This window comes from Homo sapiens, chromosome 5, assembly GCF_000001405.40.
Source record: "Homo sapiens chromosome 5, GRCh38.p14 Primary Assembly".
Classification (NCBI taxonomy): Eukaryota; Metazoa; Chordata; class Mammalia; order Primates; family Hominidae; genus Homo; species Homo sapiens.
This window is the reverse complement of record NC_000005.10, coordinates 122,364,881-122,385,301: the sequence shown is the minus strand read 5'-3', so window position 1 is coordinate 122,385,301 and position 20,421 is coordinate 122,364,881. Positions and strand designations below refer to the sequence as shown.

At 39.7% G+C, this 20,421-nt stretch overlaps 1 protein-coding gene and 1 pseudogene across 45 annotated transcripts in view, besides 3 other annotated features; both read right to left on the bottom strand.

Annotated features, from left to right (window-relative positions):
- Positions 1–20,421, bottom strand: part of SNCAIP (synuclein alpha interacting protein) — a 152,867-nt gene that overhangs the window by 78,918 nt on the left and 53,528 nt on the right. For 4 of the 45 annotated variants that reach the window (XM_047417928.1, XM_047417931.1, XM_047417922.1 and 1 more), the window contains exon 1: positions 1,721–2,112. The exons of 37 other annotated variants lie outside the window; for them this stretch is intronic. The gene's annotated coding sequence lies outside the window, so the exon portion shown is untranslated. Of the gene's footprint in view, positions 1–1,720; positions 2,181–20,421 lie in introns of those variants that run through there. 4 more of the 45 variants (XM_047417926.1, XM_047417916.1, XM_047417920.1 and 1 more) reach the window with 4 other exon arrangements.
- Positions 1,432–2,045: an enhancer, noted in NCBI's record as "OCT4-NANOG-H3K27ac-H3K4me1 hESC enhancer chr5:121718952-121719565 (GRCh37/hg19 assembly coordinates)". NCBI's record gives its function as "activates a minimal SCP1, AML or CMV promoter by ChIP-STARR-seq in naive H9 embryonic stem cells {active_cell/tissue: H9 hESC(naive)}" and the evidence as "EXISTENCE:reporter gene assay evidence [ECO:0000049][PMID:30033119]".
- Positions 2,046–2,660: an enhancer, noted in NCBI's record as "OCT4-NANOG-H3K27ac-H3K4me1 hESC enhancer chr5:121718337-121718951 (GRCh37/hg19 assembly coordinates)". NCBI's record gives its function as "activates a minimal SCP1, AML or CMV promoter by ChIP-STARR-seq in naive H9 embryonic stem cells {active_cell/tissue: H9 hESC(naive)}" and the evidence as "EXISTENCE:reporter gene assay evidence [ECO:0000049][PMID:30033119]".
- Positions 10,821–11,790, bottom strand: ANCV1RP (ancient vomeronasal 1 receptor pseudogene; annotated as a pseudogene).
- Positions 15,475–15,975: an enhancer, noted in NCBI's record as "H3K4me1 hESC enhancer chr5:121705022-121705522 (GRCh37/hg19 assembly coordinates)". NCBI's record gives its function as "activates a minimal SCP1, AML or CMV promoter by ChIP-STARR-seq in primed H9 embryonic stem cells {active_cell/tissue: H9 hESC(primed)}" and the evidence as "EXISTENCE:reporter gene assay evidence [ECO:0000049][PMID:30033119]".

Here is a 20,421-nt window from a genome sequence, read left to right as displayed (position 1 = left end):
GGACTTTATCCACTTCTTCATTTATGGAATATTCTGGATGCATGTGGTGGATAAGACCTACACTAGTTTCCACACCAAGATGGAGTATATGGTACCAGGGGAGACAAACAAGAAGGCATGCTATTACAATATCATGTGATGCTCGCCAGGACAAATAAATACACAGCAGGCTGAGGCACCCAATCTAGACCTTGGAGATAACAGAAGTCAGCCTGGCAAAGCTGAAAGCCGAAGGATGGAGGTGTGAATGGGAAGGGAGTGGTTGGGACAGGAGGAAGTGTTCCAGTTGTCTGTGCTTTCAGTATGGGAACAGGCCTGGAAGTGAGAATTCTGGAACAGAATGTCCAGAAAGACGCATAACATTGATTTAGCATTGATTGCTGTATTTTTGCTTCTACAAAGCGGTCTTGAAGCGTGATGGTGAGGGTGGGGTGATAAACAGGGATTGTCAGGGGAGTATTTTCAAAGCCAGAGTGAACACAGAGCACATCTTGGAATATCAAATTTCTGGCATGTTTGTAAGAATACAAGTGAATGTTTGATATCAAACAAGGGACTTCAGTGTAATATATTGAGCCTGCTCCAGCTCCTAGAGGAGAGCCTGCATTTCTTCCTTGCTGTCCTGAAGGAAACACCCACAGAAAAATTTGTGAAGAAAACTTTGTATCAAGATTTAGGACTGGGTGCTATTACATATACTTGCTCACTTAGTCTCACACAGATGCTGGGAGACAAATGTCATTATAATTTCTTTTGTGGAGATAAGGAAACCAAGGCTCAGAGAGGTTCTGTAATTGCCTCAAATTCACGCAACCAGGGCTTCTGATTTTAAGTCTAGTATTTTTCTCTCCTACTTCAACTTGCCAAAATGACAAGGTAAAGCAACACTGCCTCTGTGTCATTTTTTTTTTAAGAATCATCTTCACATTTTTTAGCTCAAATTATTTACTGCAACCTGTGATGGAGGCAGAAGGTATGCACCATAATTTGTAATTTGCAATCATATCTTTCATATTTTACAGATGGCAAACCTCAGGAATATTCCATCCAAGGTTATGCACTACTAAGTAGGGGCAAAGCCAGCTAACACAAATCATTTCCTGCTAACCAGTCTAGTGCTCTTCTGACTTGCCCTGGACTGCTCTGAATCATGGGTGTGTCTTTGAACCATCTAGGTCAGAATTCCAGACATCCCTAGCCCTGAATTGTATTGTTTGGATGTTCATGAACCTAACTCCAAATGAATTACCCTTCTTTCCTGGAGAGATTAAACAGAAATGGTAGACATCATCACCATCATCATCATTAACAAAACGTGTATAGACTTTGTGTCTCTAACACACCTTACCCACAGGTATCCCTGAACTAGTCTATAAGACAACATATTCCATAGCCAGTTGGTTTAAGTCTTCAACTTCACCTTTAAAGAAAATTGGATTATGACCATCCTTTTAATGTCTTATTAAAAAGGCAAGGAAGATGGCACTGTTTTAGAAAACTTGATTCTGGAGATCAGGATTTCTCTGAAAAATTCCTGTAAGGATTGGTCTTTTTGTAGTTTTGCCCTTTAATTTATACATTAAAATTCTTGCAAGTGATTTGGAGGTCATTTCATGGTATCTGAAACCCAAATATTGAGAACAAACTAACATATACCTGAACTTGAGAGCTTGGAGAGACTAGTTTTTAAGTCTAGGGCAGATATACATATTTTATGTACCTTTAAATCTGATCTCTCGAGGAGCCAAGATGGCCGAATAGGAACAGCTCCGGTCTACAGCTCCCAGCGTGAGCGACACAGAAGACGGGTGATTTCTGCATTTCCATCTGAGGTACCGGGTTCATCTCACTAGGGAGTGCCAGACAGTGGGCGCAGGTCAGTGGGTGCGCGCACCGTGCGCAAGCCGAAGCAGGGTGAGGCATTGCCTCACTTGGGAAGCGCAAGGGGTCAGGGAGTTCCCTTTCCGAGTCAAAGAAAGGGGTGACGGACGCACCTGGAAAATCGGGTCACTCCCACCCGAATATTGAGCTTTTTGGACCAGCTTAAAAAACGGCGCATCACGAGATTATATCCCGCACCTGGCTCGGAGGGTCCTACGCCCACGGAGTCTCGCTGATTGCTAGCACAGCAGTCTGAGATCAAACTGCAAGGCTGCAGCGAGGCTGGGGGAGGGGCGCCTGCCATTGCCCAGGCTTGCTAGGTAAACAAAGCAGCCGGGAAGCTCCAACTGGGTGGAGCCCACCACAGCTCAAGGAGGCCTGCCTGCCTCTGTAGACTCCACCTCTGGGGGCAGGGCACAGACAGACAAAAAGACAGCAGTAACCTCTGCAGACTTAAATGTCCCTGTCTGACAGCTTTGAAGAGAGCAGTGGTTCTCCCAGCACGCAGCTGGAGATCTGAGAACGGGCAGACTGCCTCCTCAAGTGGGTCCCTGACCCCTGACCCCCGAGCAGGCTAACTGGGAGGCAACCCCAGCAGGGGCACACTGACACCTCACACGGCAGGGTATTCCAACAGACCTGCAGCTGAGGGTCCTGTCTGTTAGAAGGAAAACTAACGAACAGAAAGGACATCCACACCAAAAACCCATCTGTACATCACCATCATCAAAGACCAAAAGTAGATAAAACCACAAAGATGGGGAAAAAACAGAACAGAAAAACTGGAAACTCTAAAACGCAGAGCGCCTCTCCTCCTCCAAAGGAACGCAGTTCCTCACCAGCAACGGAACAAAGCTGGATGGAGAATGACTTTGACGAGGTGAGAGAAGAAGGCTTCAGACGATCAAATTACTCTGAGCTACGGGAGGACATTCAAACCAAAGGCAAAGAAGTTGAAAACTTTGAAAACAATTTAGAAGAATGTATAACTAGAATAACCAATACAGAGAAGTGCTTAAAGGAGCTGATGGAGCTGAAAAACCAAGGCTCGAGAATTACGTGAAGAATGCAGAAGTCTCAGGAGCCAATGCGATCAACTGGAAGAAAGGGTATCAGCAATGGAAGATGAAATGAATGAAATGAAGTGAGAAGGGAAGTTTAGAGAAAAAAGAATAAAAAGAAATGAGCAAAGCCTCCAAGAAATATGGGACTATGTGAAAAGACCAAATCTACGTCTGATTGGTGTACCTGAAAGTGATGGGGAGAATGGAAACAAGTTGGAAAACACTCTTCAGGATATTATCCAGGAGAACTTCCCCAACCTAGCAAGAAAGGCCAACATTCAAATTAAGGAAATACAGAGAAAACCACAAAGATAATCCTCGAGAAGAGCAACCCCAAGACACATAATTGTCAGATTCACCAAGGTTGAAATGAAGGAAAAAATGTTAAGGGCAGCTAGGGAGAAAGGTCAGTTTACCTACAAAGGGAAACCCATCAGACTAACAGCAGATCTTTCTGCAGAAACCCTACAAGCCAGAAGAGAGTGGGGGCCAATATTCAACATTCTTAAAGACAAGAATTTTCAACCCAGAATTTCATATCCAGACAAACTAAGCTTCATAAGTGAAGGAGAAATAAAATACTTTACAGACAAGCAAATGCTGAGAGATTTTGTCACCACCAGGCCTGCCCTAAAAGAGCTCCTGAAGGAACCGCTAAACATGGAAAGGAACAACCGGTACCAGCTGCTGCAAAATCATGCCAAAATGTAAAGACCATCGAGACTAGGAAGAAACTGCATCAACTAACGAGCAAAATCACCAGCTAACATCATAATGACAGGATCAAATTCACACATAACAATATTAACTTTAAATGTAAATGGACTAAATGCTCCAATTAAAAGACACAGACTGGCAAATTGGATAAAGAGTCAAGACCCATCAGTGTGTTGTATTCAGGAAACCCATCTCACGTGCAGAGACACACATAGGCTCAAAATAAAAGGATGGAGGAAGATCTACCAAGCAAATGGAAAACAAAAAAAGGCAGGGGTTGCAATCCTAGTCTCTGATAAAACAGACTTTAAACCAACAAAGATCAAAAGAGACAAAAAAGGCCATTACATAATGGTAAAGGGATCAATTCAACAAGAAGAGCTAACTATCCTAAATATATATGCACCCAATACAGGAGCACCCAGATTCATAAAGCAAGTCCTGAGTGACCTACAAAGAGACTTAGACTCCCACACATTAATAATGGGAGACTTTAACACCCCACTGTCAACATTAGACAGATCAACGAGACAGAAAGTCAACAAGGATACCCAGGAATTCAACTCAGCTCTGCACCAAGCGGACCTAATAGACATCTACAGAACTCTCCACCCCAAATCAACAGAATATACATTTTTTTCAGCACCACAACACACCTATTCCAAAATTGACCACATACTTGGAAGTAAAGCTCTCCTCAGCAAATGTAAAAGAACAGAGATTATAACAAACTATCTCTCAGACCACAGTGCAATCAAACTAGAACTCAGGATTAAGAATCTCACTTAAAACTGCTCAACTACATGGAAACTGAACAACCTGCTCCTAAATGACTACTGGATACATAACGAAATGAAGGCAGAAATAAAGATGTTCTTTGAAACCAACGAGAACAAAGACACCACATACCAGAATCTCTGGGACGCATTCAAAGCAGTGTGTAGAGGGAAATTTATAGCACTAAATGCCCACAAGAGAAAGCAGGAAAGATCCAAAATTGACACCCTAACATCACAATTAAAAGAACTAGAAAAGCAAGAGCAAACACATTCAAAAGCTAGCAGAAGGCAAGAAATAACTAAAATCAGAGCAGAACTGAAGGAAATAGAGACACAAAAAACCCTTCAAAAAATTAATGAATTCAGGAGCTGGTTTTTTGAAAGGATCAACAAAATTGATAGACCACTAGCAAGACTAATGAAGAAAAAAAGAGAGAAGAATCAAATAGACACAATAAAAAATGATAAAGGGGATATCACCACTGATCCCACAGAAATCCAAACTACCATCAGAGAATACTACAAACACGTCTATGCAAATAAACTAGAAAATCTAGAAGAAATGGATAAATTCCTCGACACATACACTCTCCCAAGAATAAACCAGGAAGAAGTTGAATCTCTGAATAGACCAATAACAGGAGCTGAAATTGTGGCAATAATCAATAGTTTACCAACCAAAAAGAGTACAGGACCAGATGGATTCACAGCCGAATTCTACCAGAGGTACAAGGAGGCGCTGGTACCATTCCTTCTGAAACTATTCCAATCAATAGAAAAAGAGGGAATCCTCCCTAACTCATTTTATGAGGCCAGCATCATTCTGATACCAAAGCCGGGCAGAGACACAACCAAAAAAGAGAATTTTAGACCAATACCCTTGATGAACATTGATGCAAAAATCCTCAATAAAATACTGGCAAACCGAATCCAGCAACACATCAAAAAGCTTATCCACGATGATCAAGTGGGCTTCATCCCTGGGATGCAAGGCTGGTTCAATATACGCAAATCAATAAATGTAATCCAGCATATAAACAGAGCCAAAGACAAAAACCACATGATTATCTCAATAGATGCAGAAAAAGCCTTTGACAAAATTCAACAACCCTTCATGCTAAAAACTCTCAATAAATTAGGTATTGATGGGACGTATTTCAAAATAATGAGAGCTATCTATGACAAACTCACAGCCAATATCATACTGAATGGGCAAAAACTGGAAGCATTCCCTTTGAAAACTGGCACAAGACAGGGATGCCCTCTCTCACCACTCCTATTCAACGTAGTGTTGGAAGTTCTGGCCAGGGCAATCAGGCAGGAGAAGGAAATAAAGGGTATTCAATTAGGAAAAGAGGAAGTCAAATTGTCCCTGTTTGCAGACGACATGATTGTATATCTAGAAAACCCCATCGTCTCAGCCCAAAATCTCCTTAAGCTGATAAGCAACTTCAGCAAAGTCTCAGGATACAAAATCAATGTACAAAAATCACAAGCATTCTTATACACCAACAACAGACAAACAGAGAGCCAAATCATGAGTGAACTCCCATTCACAATTGCTTCAAAGAGAATAAAATACCTAGGAATCCAACTTACAAGGGATGTGAAGGACCTCTTCAAGGAGAACTACAAACCACTGCTCAAGGAAATAAAAGAGGATACAAACAAATGGAAGAACATTCCATGCTCATGGGTAGGAAGAATCAATATTGTGAAAATGGCCATACTGCCCAAGGTAATTTACAGATTCAATGCCATCCCCATCAAGCTACCAATGACTTTCTTCACAGAATTGGAAAAAACTACTTTAAAGTTCATATGGAACCAAAAAAGAGCCCGCATCGCCAAGTCAATCCTAAGCCAAAAGAACAAAGCTGGAGGCATCACACTACCTGACTTCAAACTATACTACAAGGCTACAGTACCAAAACAGCATGGTACTGGTACCAAAACAGAGATATAGATGAATGGAACAGAACAGAGCCCTCAGAAATAACGCCACTTATCTACAACTATCTGATCTTTGACAAACCTGAGAAAAACAAGCAATGGGGAAGGATTCCCTATTTAATAAATGGTGCTGGGAAAACTGGCTAGCCATATGTAGAAAGCTGAAACTGGATCCCTTCCTTACACCTTATACAAAAATCAATTCAAGATGGATTAAAGACTTAAACGTTAGACCTAAAACCAAAAAAACCCTAGAAGAAAACCTAGGCATTACCATTCAGGACATAGGCATGGGCAAGGAGTTCATGTCCAGAACACCAAAAGCAATGGCAACAAAAGACAAAATTGACAAATGGGATCTAATTAAACTAAAGAGCTTCTGCACAGCAAAAGAAACTACCATCAGAGTGAACAGGCAACCTACAAAATGAGAGAAAATTTTCACAACCTACTCATCTGACAAAGGGCTAATATCCAGAATCTACAATGAACTCAAACAAATTTACAAGAAAAAAACAAACAACCCCATCAAAAAGTGGGCGAAGGACATGAACAGACACTTCTCAAAAGAAGACATTTATGCAGCCAAAAAACACATGAAAAAATGCTCATCATCACTGGCCATCAGAGAAATGCAAATCAAAACCACAATGAGATACCATCTCACACCAGTTAGAATGGCGATCATTAAATTGTCAGGAAACGACAGGTGCTGGAGAGGATGTGGAGAAATAGGAACACTTTTACACTGTTGGTGGGACTGTAAACTAGTTCAACCATTGTGGAAGTCAGTGTGGCTATTCCTCAGGGATCTAGAACTAGAAATACCATTTGACCCAGCCATCCCATTACTGGGTATATACCCAAAGGACTATAAATCATGCTGCTATAAAGACACATGCACACGTATGTTTATTGTGGCATTATTCACAATAGCAAAGACTTGGAACCAACCCAAATGTCCAACAATGACAGACTGGATTGCGAAAATGTGGCACATATACACCATGGAATACTATGCAGCCATAAAAAATGATGAGTTCATGTCCTTTGTAGGGACATGGATGAAATTGGAAATCATCATTCTCAGTAAACTATCGCAAGAACAAAAAACCAAACACCGCATATTCTCACTCATAGGTGGGAATTGAACAATGAGATCACATGGGCACAGGAAGGGGAATATCACACTCTGGGGACTGTTGTGGGGTGGGGGGAGGGGGGAGGGATAGCATTGGGAGATATACATAATGCTAGATGACGAGTTAGTAGGTGCAGCGCACCAGCATGGCACATGTATACATATGTAACTAACCTGCACAATGTGCACATGTACCCTAAAACTTAAAGTATATAAAAAAAATATCTGATCTCTCTTTCTTTCTTTCTCTCTCTCTCTCTCTCTCTCTCTCTGTCTGTCTCCCTCTCACCCCTTTCTTGTGTGTGTGATTTAAAATGAGTTGAACATTTAAAATTCTTTTTGGAAGAAAGAAAGAATTCATGCTCACAGGAGCTGTGCAGGAGAAGATAAAAGAATGTATAATAGAAAAAAATACATGCAAACACAAATGTATACACATACACAAAGAAAAAACATATTGTATTCAGTTCTGAGTGTCACTTCTTTAAAAAGCCACAGGTTATCTGGAATACACCAAGACAGAGAAAGGAAGCCAAGAAAACCAGTGGTTGAGAAACTGTCTTATGCAATACAGCTAAGGAAATTTCTAACTTGGTGAAGAGAAAAAAGCTTTCCTCTCTAAGAATCTAAAGATCTCGCAAGTAAAAGGAGGATTTAACTTCAAGGGTAAATCTTGGAGGACATATCAGGGATGTCAGTCTCAGTAAAGACTTTGTAAGTATGGTATTTCAAATGGGCTTTAATGGAATGGGCTGCTTTGTGAAATCACACCCACCTCAGCAAGAAATTGTTCAAATAGAAGTCCTCTGAGAGAAGAAGATCAGAATCCTGCATTGTGAAGGAGGAATAGACGGCCTCCCAGCTGAAAAGATTTTGCGTAGTCTGAGATGGCATTGACAAACACCCATGAAACTAAACCAGGTCCTCAGGACAGTCCTGACCAATTTTACACCTTTTCAGAGTGCTGCCATGACCATCTCTGTTGAATTTCCCTATTCTCTTTCATCTGTCATCATAATCCCACCAGGAACTTGAGTGAAATTGGAGGTTAAGGGAGAGAAAGGAGGGAGCAAGAGAGTTAAAATCAAACTAATTTTTAAAGAGAACTGGAATATTGTTCATTCAGTGAACATATGATTTGTTCCCTGTTGTAAATGAAAACTTATCAATTCCACAAGGACAAAACTATGACCTAATGAGGTCCAAAGAAGAAGAAAATATCTGGAAAGAAAAAGAAAACATTTCAAGCACTGGGAAGTTGAGCATGGGCTTAAGCCAACCAATCATGTCTTGCACTGGCTTCTGGAAGGGAACTATGGAATAATCTGGGAACTGGAGCCCTTACTCAGTTATGTACAAGAAACTATCCAAATCTAACTTCCAAATTTTGGCACACCTGAAATGGTTATGCTTTATTTTGATTTTGCAAAAATTACTCAATTTCTACAGTGGATGTGTTTGGAACACATCACAACCCTGATTGCCATTTTAGAGAGAAGCAGACACAACAGCAGCATGCATGGGATCACTGAAGACTACATCTTCAGTCAGTTATCTTGGCTTCATTCTGATTGTTTATGAGGATTAAACTTTGGAGCAATCCTAGATGAGTTATTCTCAAACTTTAGAGTGCACGAGAGTCACTCAGATGGCTTATTAAAACAGACTGCTGGGTCCAAATCCCAGACTTGCTGATTCAATAGGTCAAGGTGGTGCCCAATAATTTGCATTTGTCATAAGTTCCCACGTGATGCTGATGCTGCTGGTCTCAGAATCACATTTTAGAACCACTACCTAAGCTAAGCTAATGGCTATCCTCAGCTTTGGCTACATCTGCACTTAATTAAAAGATGGTGACCTCTTCCCCACATGCCACATCTATCCAGATGTTAACTTCATTATACAGGATTCATGCCTAGTGCCCTTTTGATTAAGCTGCCTCAGTGGACTCAACTAAGCATTTCCCATGAAGACCACCCAGCAATCTCAGAGGGTCTTAGGTCTTTTTATTTTTATTATTTTTTTTCAATTTGTTGTGCTATACAAGAGATAGACATTGGCACACACAACTTTACACAATTTGGGCCTTGGCTACTTTAAAATTTCCTTTCTCTATAGCACTTCATGGCTACAAAGATGTTCTTAGTGTCTTCTGTTAATGAGGTCCAGTTTTATAATTTTCAATGCAGCCTTTTTAGAACCAGGTCTCAGTTTGGGGATATCTATTCACTAGAATGACAGTATAATAAATCCCAGGTCTATTAACACAGAAGAAAAATGAAAAAAAAAAAAAAAGCAAAAATCTACTAAGAATTTGCTTAAAAATCAATGCTTACATAAATGTATGTGAAGACACTGAAAACAATTTCTCACTGTATCGGAAGCAGTCCAAAGAGCTAACCCAGCTAACTGAGAAAAAGAAAAACCCAGCCATATATTTTTAATTAGAATTATAATGTGCTTATTTTTATTGAATCCAAATCCAGAGATCAAATTATTATGAAGGTTTTATAAATTCTTCCAATTTGTAAATGTACCAATTTGATAACTGAAAGGAGATAAATTCCCTATAAAATAATATCCTTTTTTCTGAAGAAAAGAGTATAGTTTAATATATATTTAGATGATTAAGCAAGGATAGTGAGTTAAATGTCTGAACAACCAAATATTTGCACATCTGTACATACACAGAGTATGACTTAGCAAGTACTAATTCTTTAATCCAATGCTTTCATTTGGCCCTAATTTACTAAAGACACTTAGGGTAGAGATGATGAACAAAATCTGCTTCCACCATAGATGAGGTACTATTATTAAAAGTGCAAAAACTGAACACTGCACACCTACCTAATATACTTCTAATATGTGGGGAAGCATTTCAAAAACAACATAAGATTATTTATGTGTACCTTTAAAATTCAGCTAGGAAGTATTATCTTCAGTTTCATCAATATGTTGTTTTTTAAACACAATATCTTGCACGAGTAAATAATATATTATTTGAGTTCATTTCCAGACTGAAAACTGTTGAGTTGCTTTATAATTTTTACATTAGAACTCTCAGTATTGTCTTAAATAACAAATGTTGTGATGACAATTTTTTAACATATAATAGCTTAATGTTCATATAGTTTCTCGCACAGTTTCCTCTGAAGTCTATTTTTGAAGAGGAGTCAGTTTTCTAGAGACCCTTTTGGAAACTGTTGATGAGCGCTATGAAAACTCTAGCTATACTCTCCAATGACAGGGTCTGTTTTCCAATAATTAAACTTGAATTCTTTGCCATTAAGCATATGGAGAAAGAATAACATTTGTAGGCTGTGGTGTGGGTTTTTCCTCTTTGGCACCACAGAAGGTCACCAACTTCATTTTGTAATTAACCAACATAAGCAAGAAAGGACTGAGAGCAGAGAAGCTTGAAGAGATGGCTGTAAGAACAGCTGGAATAAAGCTGCATGCTGCCAAGTCTTTCAAGAAACAGACTAAGATAAAGTGAGAAATCCAAAGTGGAGTGATCAGCAACATTAATAAAATACTGAACTTGGCCCCTCTAAGGATTTCAATTTCTGAATCATCATCTCCAATCCAGATGTCACCATATGTCATCTTCTTTCTCTCTGAAAGGAGGAAAGACATCCAGAAACAGACAAAGACTAAAATAGCTAAAGAAAGAATATCAATCAGAACGAAAAAAATTTTCCCATAGAAAAACTCTACCTGCTTGTTTCCAAAGACAACTGGGCAATCCATGTACATCCTGTTAGTAGACAAGGGATCTGTATCATTTCCTGCATTCGAGAATTCTGGTTTTCTGGTACGAATTTAAACTGGGATATATACCACCACACCAGCCACCCAAAGTACAGAAACCACCTTCAAGGAATGCTTCTGTTGGTCCAGGCTTGGATTTACACCCAAGGGGTGGGCAATTTGGTAAAGCTTCCAGTGGTAAAGCAATGCAAAGTGTAACATGAAGCAGATGGCCAGTGAAGTTGTCAGGGCTGATGTAAAGCACAGAACTTTGCAGCCAGCTGAATCCAATATGATACCAGAAGAGTAAACAATTTTCATAACATTCACCACCAAGTTTTTAATAAGGTGGACAAAAATAAGATTGAAAATTAGAAGAAAGGATGTCTGTAAATGCCCAGTGATACATCTTCTTGTAGAATAAAACAAACGTGTTTCCCACGATGCTCATGAAGATTAGGATGGTACAAGTGATGATCTCAAGCACGTCTGCAGAGGGCTTCATGGTAAATGCCGAATTGTTATCTCAAATGTCTTTTTCTCTTCTGTTTGTCACTAGGCTTTTGGAATACTTTTAAGAGGTCTTTAGTGAGACAACCTGGATTTTTAAATAAATCCACTATGTTGATAAAATCATCAACTGATATCACCCTAACAGTTCAAAGTCTGTAACAGAATTCTGCTTGCTCCAGTGATGAGATGCTGAAAACAGAACTGCTTCCCAAAAGGATTCTATTTTGTCATCTCCAGGGACTTGATTATGATGAGAAAGTCCTAGGTATCATCACTTAATTAAAAGTTCTCAGAAATGTATTTACAGTACTGTAATACAATTTCCTATATACAGTATAATACAGTTTTCAAAAACTGTGATGGAGAGAATAAAATTAAATTTATGACACAAAAGAAAAGCCAGAGGTTGAAAGTACACCACTCCACTCATGGAAGAAAGTTAAAGTACGGGATGTCTCAATAACAATGAAGATTTCAAAATAACAAAATGACAAATTAAAAATGAGAGCAATAACATGACAGAGATTTATACAAGTAGAATGGTTTTCTAGTTTCTCTACAATTTTGCAAAGCAGAAGTACTATTGCCTGTTCTGATGATCTTGTAGGGATGTTAGAAATACAAAAGATGGTGGAAAATACTTCTGAAGGAAGTAAGGATGGTTATAAAGAAGGAAGGAAGAAGGGAGGGAGAGGGGGAAGGGAAAGAGGAGGGAGAAAAAGAAGACATCTTTATAAACATGGGGATTATGTCCACGAGCAAATATCTAAACTATTGGTGAAGGAAACATTCAAACAATTGAGAAGTGATTAGGGAGACTTTCCTTCCTACAGCACAAGAGGCTAGGGAAATATTTCTCTTCTAAGTATGACTGGAGAGTACAGAACAAGAAGAGAAAGATGGCATTGAGATACATTGCTCGAGTAATCTGGCATGAACTCACTTTCTGGATGAATCCAAGTATATTATAGTGATCCACTCTACGACAAACTATTTTCCCTCTACTGCATTTGCTTGTAGGTTTTGCTGTTGTCAATCATCCTGTCCTATACTATCAAAGCATAAGCTTTAGCCTGGCCCAGTGGTGTAATGGAGTGGCAACAACTTGAACAGCTGTGCACATCTCTTCCAAACTCTGTGTTCAGTGACTTTGTGTTAAGAGCTTACAATTGGCCATGCTGGGAGTATTTACACCATGGAAACTGGCAAATGTTGCAAATCATAGCTTTTTCGGAGGAGAGCTCTTTTAGAAACACAACATTGGCCTGACCAAAAAAATACAGATTAGAATAAGAAATTAGCTGATGTTTTATTTACATAAAGGTATGATCAGTATTTGGTATTGATCAGCCCTTTCAGGAAGGGTATGAAAAACTCCTAGTGCTGCATGTTAGATAAGAGGTTTATGGCTGTGGAAGCAGATGGGAAAGCTGGGCCACACAACCCTACTGTGGGGAGGTGGCAACTGGGGGCTGACAGTTTCTATTAACCCCCTTTCCCCTAATTGGCTACTAAGATAGTCAACTCAGAGTCCTCACACATTTTTCTTCTTTAAGAAACATCCATTATCAGTCAAATAGAAACCCCTGTGGTTCTAATAATAAAATAACCTAATAATAATGCTGCGTATTATTTATTTAACACCAACTTGAGCCAGCCACTGTGTTGGTGTTATTCTTTACAATTTTAATCTGATTTAATCTTTAATATCACTCTCACTTCACAGATGAGGAAATAGAAGTCCAGAGAGTAAAGCAGATTGCTCAAAGCTAATAATGATGACAGGAATCAAAGCCAGGTAGGACTGATTCCAAAACCACCAGTTCTCAGTCACTGCCTTTCCACACACGTCAGATTGCAGATTTCTGTTGACTTTTCTCAGTCTCCCTCTGATGATTTATAATTGGTACACCCAACATATAACACACTGAGAAGAGTTTCTTTGAGTTTATAATATACAAATCATGCAGGTTTTTGAATGGCAATTTGTCTTCTCCCTTCTCTTTCAGAGACAGTAATAAATATGGTTGTTTACACCTCTGTACCTCATAAAGACCTCCAAGCATTCTGTACACCAGCTCAAGATGACTTGCTTGAAATGGAAAAAGGCTGTTTTCAGCAGTAGTTAGCCCCTATACTGGCAGTGTGTAAGTAAAGGCACAATGACCACCTGAAGTAATTTTTTTTTTTTTTTTCTGAGATAAGGTCTTGCTCTGTTACCTAGGTTGGATAACAGAAATCTGATCAGAGTTGACTGCAACCTTGAATTCCTGGGCTCAAGTGATCCTCCCACTTCAGCCTCCCAAGTCACTGGGACTACAGGAGCATGTTCAGCCAATTTTTAATTTTTTTTGTAGAGACAGTGTCTCACTATGTTGCCCCGGCTGGTCTCAAACTCCTGGTCTCAAGTGATCCTCCTGCCTCAGCCTCCCAAGGCACAAAGATTATAGGCATGAGCCACCAGGCCCAGCCCCAAGCCTGAAGTAACTCTGTAGAGCAGTTTAAGAAAAACTCTAAACAGCAGGCAGCATATAGCCCACTTGAGTTTGAGATTCAGTTTTGGCATGATAAATTGAGAAATTGTCTAAGTGATGCTATTTCTCAAATTTCCACAAATAGTAACAATTTATAGCAAATAATACTGACTTTCTACATGCATGATAGGAAGAATAATTAGAAAAACATATTTTGCAAAACCAAAAAAAGCTTACATGAAACTTTGCAAACAATTAGCAAACATGTCATATGTTCCTTTACATTAGGATAAAAAGGACAAAAAATATGTGCCATTTTTTCCTTCAGGGTTATATCTAGACTAGAGAAACAGCACACATTAAAATATGAGGGGAACAAAGTTAATTTTTGTGAATATTTGCTTGACTGATGAATAATACTTTCTGTTGATAACTATGAAACAGAAGGATAAAGAGGTGCCTTCATAAGACTGCACTTAATTAGCTGTTTATTAAGAAGCAGTTGTGTGCTCAGCATGGCCTGGATTCTAAGGATGGTACACAGGGTGCAATTGTCCCATCCTTCCAGAGGCATATGATTTGTCAGTAAGAACACACTAAAGTACAATACATGTCATATATGTTACATTGTATTACATACATACATGTATAAGAAATATAAAATATATTTATATTTTAATAATTAATTAATATCAATAAATATCAATAAAAAGAATAATCCAATGTAATAAACTGCATGGCTATTGAGTACAAGAGCAAAATGTTCAGAGATGTGTGGGATCCATGTGGGCCATACTATTTTTTTTGAGCATACAGATTTTTTTGTTGATATATAATAGATGTATATATTTTGGAAACGTAATATTTTGATACCTGTGTACAATGTGTAATGATCAAATTGGAGTAACTGGGATATCCATCAACTCAAACATTTAATTTTTCTTAGTGTTGGGAACATTACAATTTTTCTCTTCTAGCTATTTTGAAATATACCATTCTATTTTTAATCTCCAGTTCACAGAAAAGGAAAGTGAAGCTTGGAAAAGTGAAACCACTTGCTCTAAGTGGCAGGAAGAGGTGGCGTTGAACCCCAGGGCTCTTGCATTCAAAAGCTCTTTTGGAAAGAGAAAAGGAAAAGTGCAGCTGACTGAACTGTGAAGCAAAGGAGCTAAGAAGCCTGGATGCCAACCCCAAGGGTCCTGAAGAGTCCCATTGAGGAGCTCCTTACAGCAGAAAGCCCATTTCTCAGAGGCACATACATGGTCCAGAGCCAAGAAGGTCCAGAAAGCAAGACTGCATCCTTCACCAAGGAAGGTGATTGTGATGTGGACACTTCAAGGGGGAACAAAAAAAAATCTTCCTTTGAAAACCTAACATTGGCTCTGCCAATTCAATTTCACCGAGGTCCTTTGAGAACTGAGTTCAAAGGTTCTCTACAGCTTCCATTTACTTTGGCATAAGATTTAACAGAAAAAGAATTAAGGGAGAATTTATATGGGCCAGGCTGTTTTCCAAATCTCAGACTGCTAAAAGTTATTTAGAATTTGCTTTAACTTGCAATCCTATGTAAAGTGGTTCAGATGTAAATGCTTTCCGTGTGGCCTGAGGCAATCTAGGTTTCCTCAAATGCACATGTGCCATTCGAATATTAAAGATTTTGATTGGAAATCTCAAAGTACATTGGGTTCCTCTTGATTAGAGACTGCTGTTACTTTATGCGACATTGGGTCAGAGGAGGAGAAATAAAACATACTGCCTTCATTTGGGCATTATATTCTCACAGTAGCTCTAACATAAACAAACTTCACAGGCTGAGAGAAGGGCATTTGCTCCTTTAAATTGAGTATGTAATGTAAATAAATGTCTTCTAAGAAAGGATGGCTGAAACTTGATTCTGAGTCTGAACCTATACAAGGGCACTAATTTATTTTAATGAAGATCAGTGTGGAGCATCTGTGGGAGTGCTTGCCTTCTTGAGATCAGAGCTGGTCTGACCAAAGACGATCCTTCACTGACTCAGAAAAATGCCGCTTGGAACTGATTAGTTCGCTGGCCGGGAGCAAACTGATATGTGCATTTTTATATAGGACAAAATGGAAGGAATTACCAAATCTCTTACTGTGTAATCAATGGCTGCCTACAGCTATTTTCAATTCTCTCTGAGGCAGTGATTTTGTGACCAGCCAGGGTAGGACTAAAAACCCCTAACCCCAAATTAAAAGTGAATGGAGAGAAACTTCAGGCTGGCTGGGGCCAGAGCAATTAAATGGTAATTGCCTTTTAGATATACTAATGTTGCTAATTATATTACTGTGCTAACTGCTGAGAAATGTGGATAAGAGCTCCAGGCCACTCTGATGGGAGAAAGGAGCTAAGATTTATTAAGCCTGGTGCTAAGCTGGATCCTTCAAATAAGTTATCTCCTGAAATCCTTATAATAACTCTGCAAGGTATCATTAGGTTCACTAAGGCTGAGTCGCTTGCTCAGTTAGTTCCAGCTGGTACATGACAGAGTCAGGAGTCCCACCAGGTTTGTGTGGCATGGGCTTGAGTAGAAATGGGGAGAAATGTGTGATTTCTGTATATACGAGGTTCAAAAACTGGAAATCTGGTAGCAGAGAAGGATGACAGAATTTGAAAATGAGGCCATGACGAAAAGTTCTGCAAGTACAAGGGCTTGGGAGGCACCTTTTCTTGTGTGTGGAAAGGAAGAGCCCCAGAATATAGGAGGCTGGGAGGGGAGGAGCTGCCATCATAGGAAAACTGACTCTATGGTACTCAGCGAAACCATTTACTACCTGGAACACTAGGGTATCCAAAGGAGGAGCCCCCAGACTATCTGAGGCTGAAAGTCCTAGGGAACCAGGAAGTAAAGTGAAGGGGACAGTGCCTATATACTTGCCACTCTCTAGGCCAATCTATCAGAATGACAAAGTCTGTTAATTGCAATGGCAAAGTCTGTTAGAGATGGCCCTACGACTCCAAAGTCAGAAGACTTGGGTTAAATCATGTATGAATTATGAAAGGTTTGGCAAGTCCTATTTGCTGTGTGTCTCAGGCTCCTAATGAGTTTCTCAGAGACCATAAAATATATATAGACCTATGTGTGTATGTATACACTTATATTTATATATGTGTGTTTGTATGTATATATATATATAATTTATGCACACACAGGTACGAGACAATCATGGGATTCAAATGAAACTCTGAGCCCAGTTTGAAGGATGCAGAGTGCTATACAACTGCTAGTTTTTGTTACTATTTATCTCCTAAAATCACACACACAGTAATACAGGCGCTTTCTGCTTGAAACGGGAAAGTGCTACCTGGGTTCTTTGCCAAGACTGGAATTCTGAATGCACTGTCTTTGCAGCATAAGTGCAGTTCCTTGGCAAACAGTTGTGGGAAATTCCCCCAAGTGTCTCCAGGCCTGACTCCAGCCCTGAGCCTCTTAGTCTCTATCTCTACTCTATCCTCTAAAGAAACTCATCTCTGGTTTTTGGAACCTGACCACATACATCCTCAAGTCTCACCAACCCTGCAAATGAAACCCATCCCAACTTTGGATTTCATCCCGTCTTTTCTCTCGTCTTATCCAAACTCTCAAAAGACACATCTACATTTACCATTGCTACTTTCTTGTCTTCCTTTTAGTTCCTAACCCAGCACAATTTAGTTTCTACTACTTTTTCCTCTGAAAATGATCTAGAATAAGATTATCTTCTATTACTAAATCCAATCACACCTGGACCTGTCTGATACTCTCTTTTTCTTTTAAGGCTTTACATTTGTTGCTCCCTATGGTCAAGTCTTGGTCCACTTCTCTTCTTACTCACCCACTAATACCTATGTGTACAGATTCCATCTGCTCCTGGATATCTCTGCTTGATGTCCCTTAGGCTCCCAACTCAAACTTAACCTTACTTGACAATACCATCAACCTCAGCTGAGGTGACAGACTTGGGTACCATCCCTGGATCCTCCCTCTCCCTCACCTGTACATCCAATCATCCTGTCAATTAAATTTTTATGTTTTCCATCCTTCCTACCATTTTCTTACTGCTGTTTCTCATTGTTTTTTGCTTGAATGAATTTGAGAAGGACAAGACGAAGGCAAATAAATTAGATTTTTGCTTCTAAAAAATAATTCTAGGAGTCTACACAACTGTCAAAGTGACCTAAAATACAAATATGGGCTTGCCACTTCCCTGTTGAAAACCTTTCAGAATTTTCCCACTGCCTACAGGGAAGATGGCCGCAACTCCGTTAAGTCACACGAAGCCTCTCATGTTGGGTGCCTGCCTACATTCAGCTCCTATCAATCTCTGACTCATACTGGAAACTTTATGACACAGACTGAGATTCTGTGCATATCTCATGCTGTTTCTTGTCCTGGTGCTTTGGCTTATGCTGATACCTCTGTATATGTCCTCCTTCTCTTATGACCACACCAAGCCATCCAACACCCAACCTTTGGCTTTTCACTTGCCAATGAATGGTGTGAACATTTGCCTATTTACTCTCAGATATATTCTCTCAGGAAATGATATTTCCTAGGCTCCTTTGCCAACTGACTGGCTTCCAGGTAAATCTGGCCAATGGCAGACTCAATCAGAAGACTGGAGGGCTTGGAGAAGGGACTTAGTCTTTCTCTGTCTCTCTTTCTCACATACACATACATACTCACCCTGCCACAGGCAGTGTCTTCTATGTCATCAGCTCCTGTAACTGTTCAGCAGCTGAACATCATTCCAGCTTTGCTAGTGGCCCTAACTTGTGGGTGGTAATAGACCTTTTCCCTTTGTCCTTTAAGCCCTAGGGGAGCTGGTGGCTTCCCTGCTTTTGCTAGTATCAAGATTGCCTTATCTTGCTTAGTTTGGTGGCTCAGCTCTTTCAGCATTGGAGTAACGAATTCTCTATTATAATTTTCCTCTGTATAAAATATTTAGAATGGTTTCTGTTTATGTTGACTTGACCCTGACTAATTCACTTGCTTGCCCTTTAAACTTATTTTTCAAAAACTCAGCTTAGGGGTTACTTAGGAAGTAACTCCTAAGGAAGCTTTTAAGTTTACACCTGACTTCAAGTCTAGGTTGTCTACCTGCCTCTTCCTCCGTGAAAAATTCCCCAGCAAATGACGCTCGACATACTTACCATGACTTCCTATTATTATCTGTCCATGCATCTGCATCCCGCCTGATGAGATCCTTTGGCTTGTTCACCATAACCCACAGTGCTCAGCACAGAGTTTGGCATAGACACACAAGAATATTTTGAATGAATGGAAAAGTATTAATGAATAAAACCATGAGACCAAACAGGGATCTTTCTTTTTCTTTTTTTTTATGGAGACAGGGTCTTACTCTGCCGCCCAGACTAGAGTGCAGTGGCGCAATCTTGGCTCACTGCAATCTCCGCCTCACAGGCTCAAGCGATTCTCCTGCCTCAGCCTCCCAAGTAGCTGGGATTACAGGCATGCGTCACCACGCCCAGCTAATTTTTGTAATTTTAGCACAGATGGGGTTTCACCATGTTGGCCAGGTTAGTCTCAAACTCCTGACCTCAAATGATCCACCTGCCTCGGCCTCCCACAGTGGTGGGATTACAGGTGTGAGCCACCACGCCTGGCCAGAGGGATCTTTCTATAAGAAGCCAAGTTTGGCTTAGCCGTAGACGGTATCCCACATTTTTTGCACTGGTACTATAGAAAAAGTCTTATCCCCAAACAAATCATGGCCTAATTATTTAAAAATAAACATAAGACATACGGCATTTTGGGGAAAAGCATATATCATAAAATTGGTCACGATTAATAAGGTTCATGGTTCCAAAGAGTCCAGACAGGGAATTAGGGAAAGCAAAAAGAAGATGGACATTTCACAGGAGTAAATAAGCTAAATGGGATTAAATAGGGGTCGGGGCATGGGGGCAACAAAGTAGACAGGAAGCCAAGGGGAAGAGAGATCACCAATACAGATGGCAGATTCTTTTGAGATTCATTTTATGTTCAAACTCTAGTCTTACCCAAATGTTTTGTATATGTCTCTTTTTAACAGTTATTCTTTTCTATGTTTTCTTTCACTGGAAAAAGGCACTGAGCAGTATATTTTAAAAATTTAGGATTATCTCTCACAATTGTATAGGTC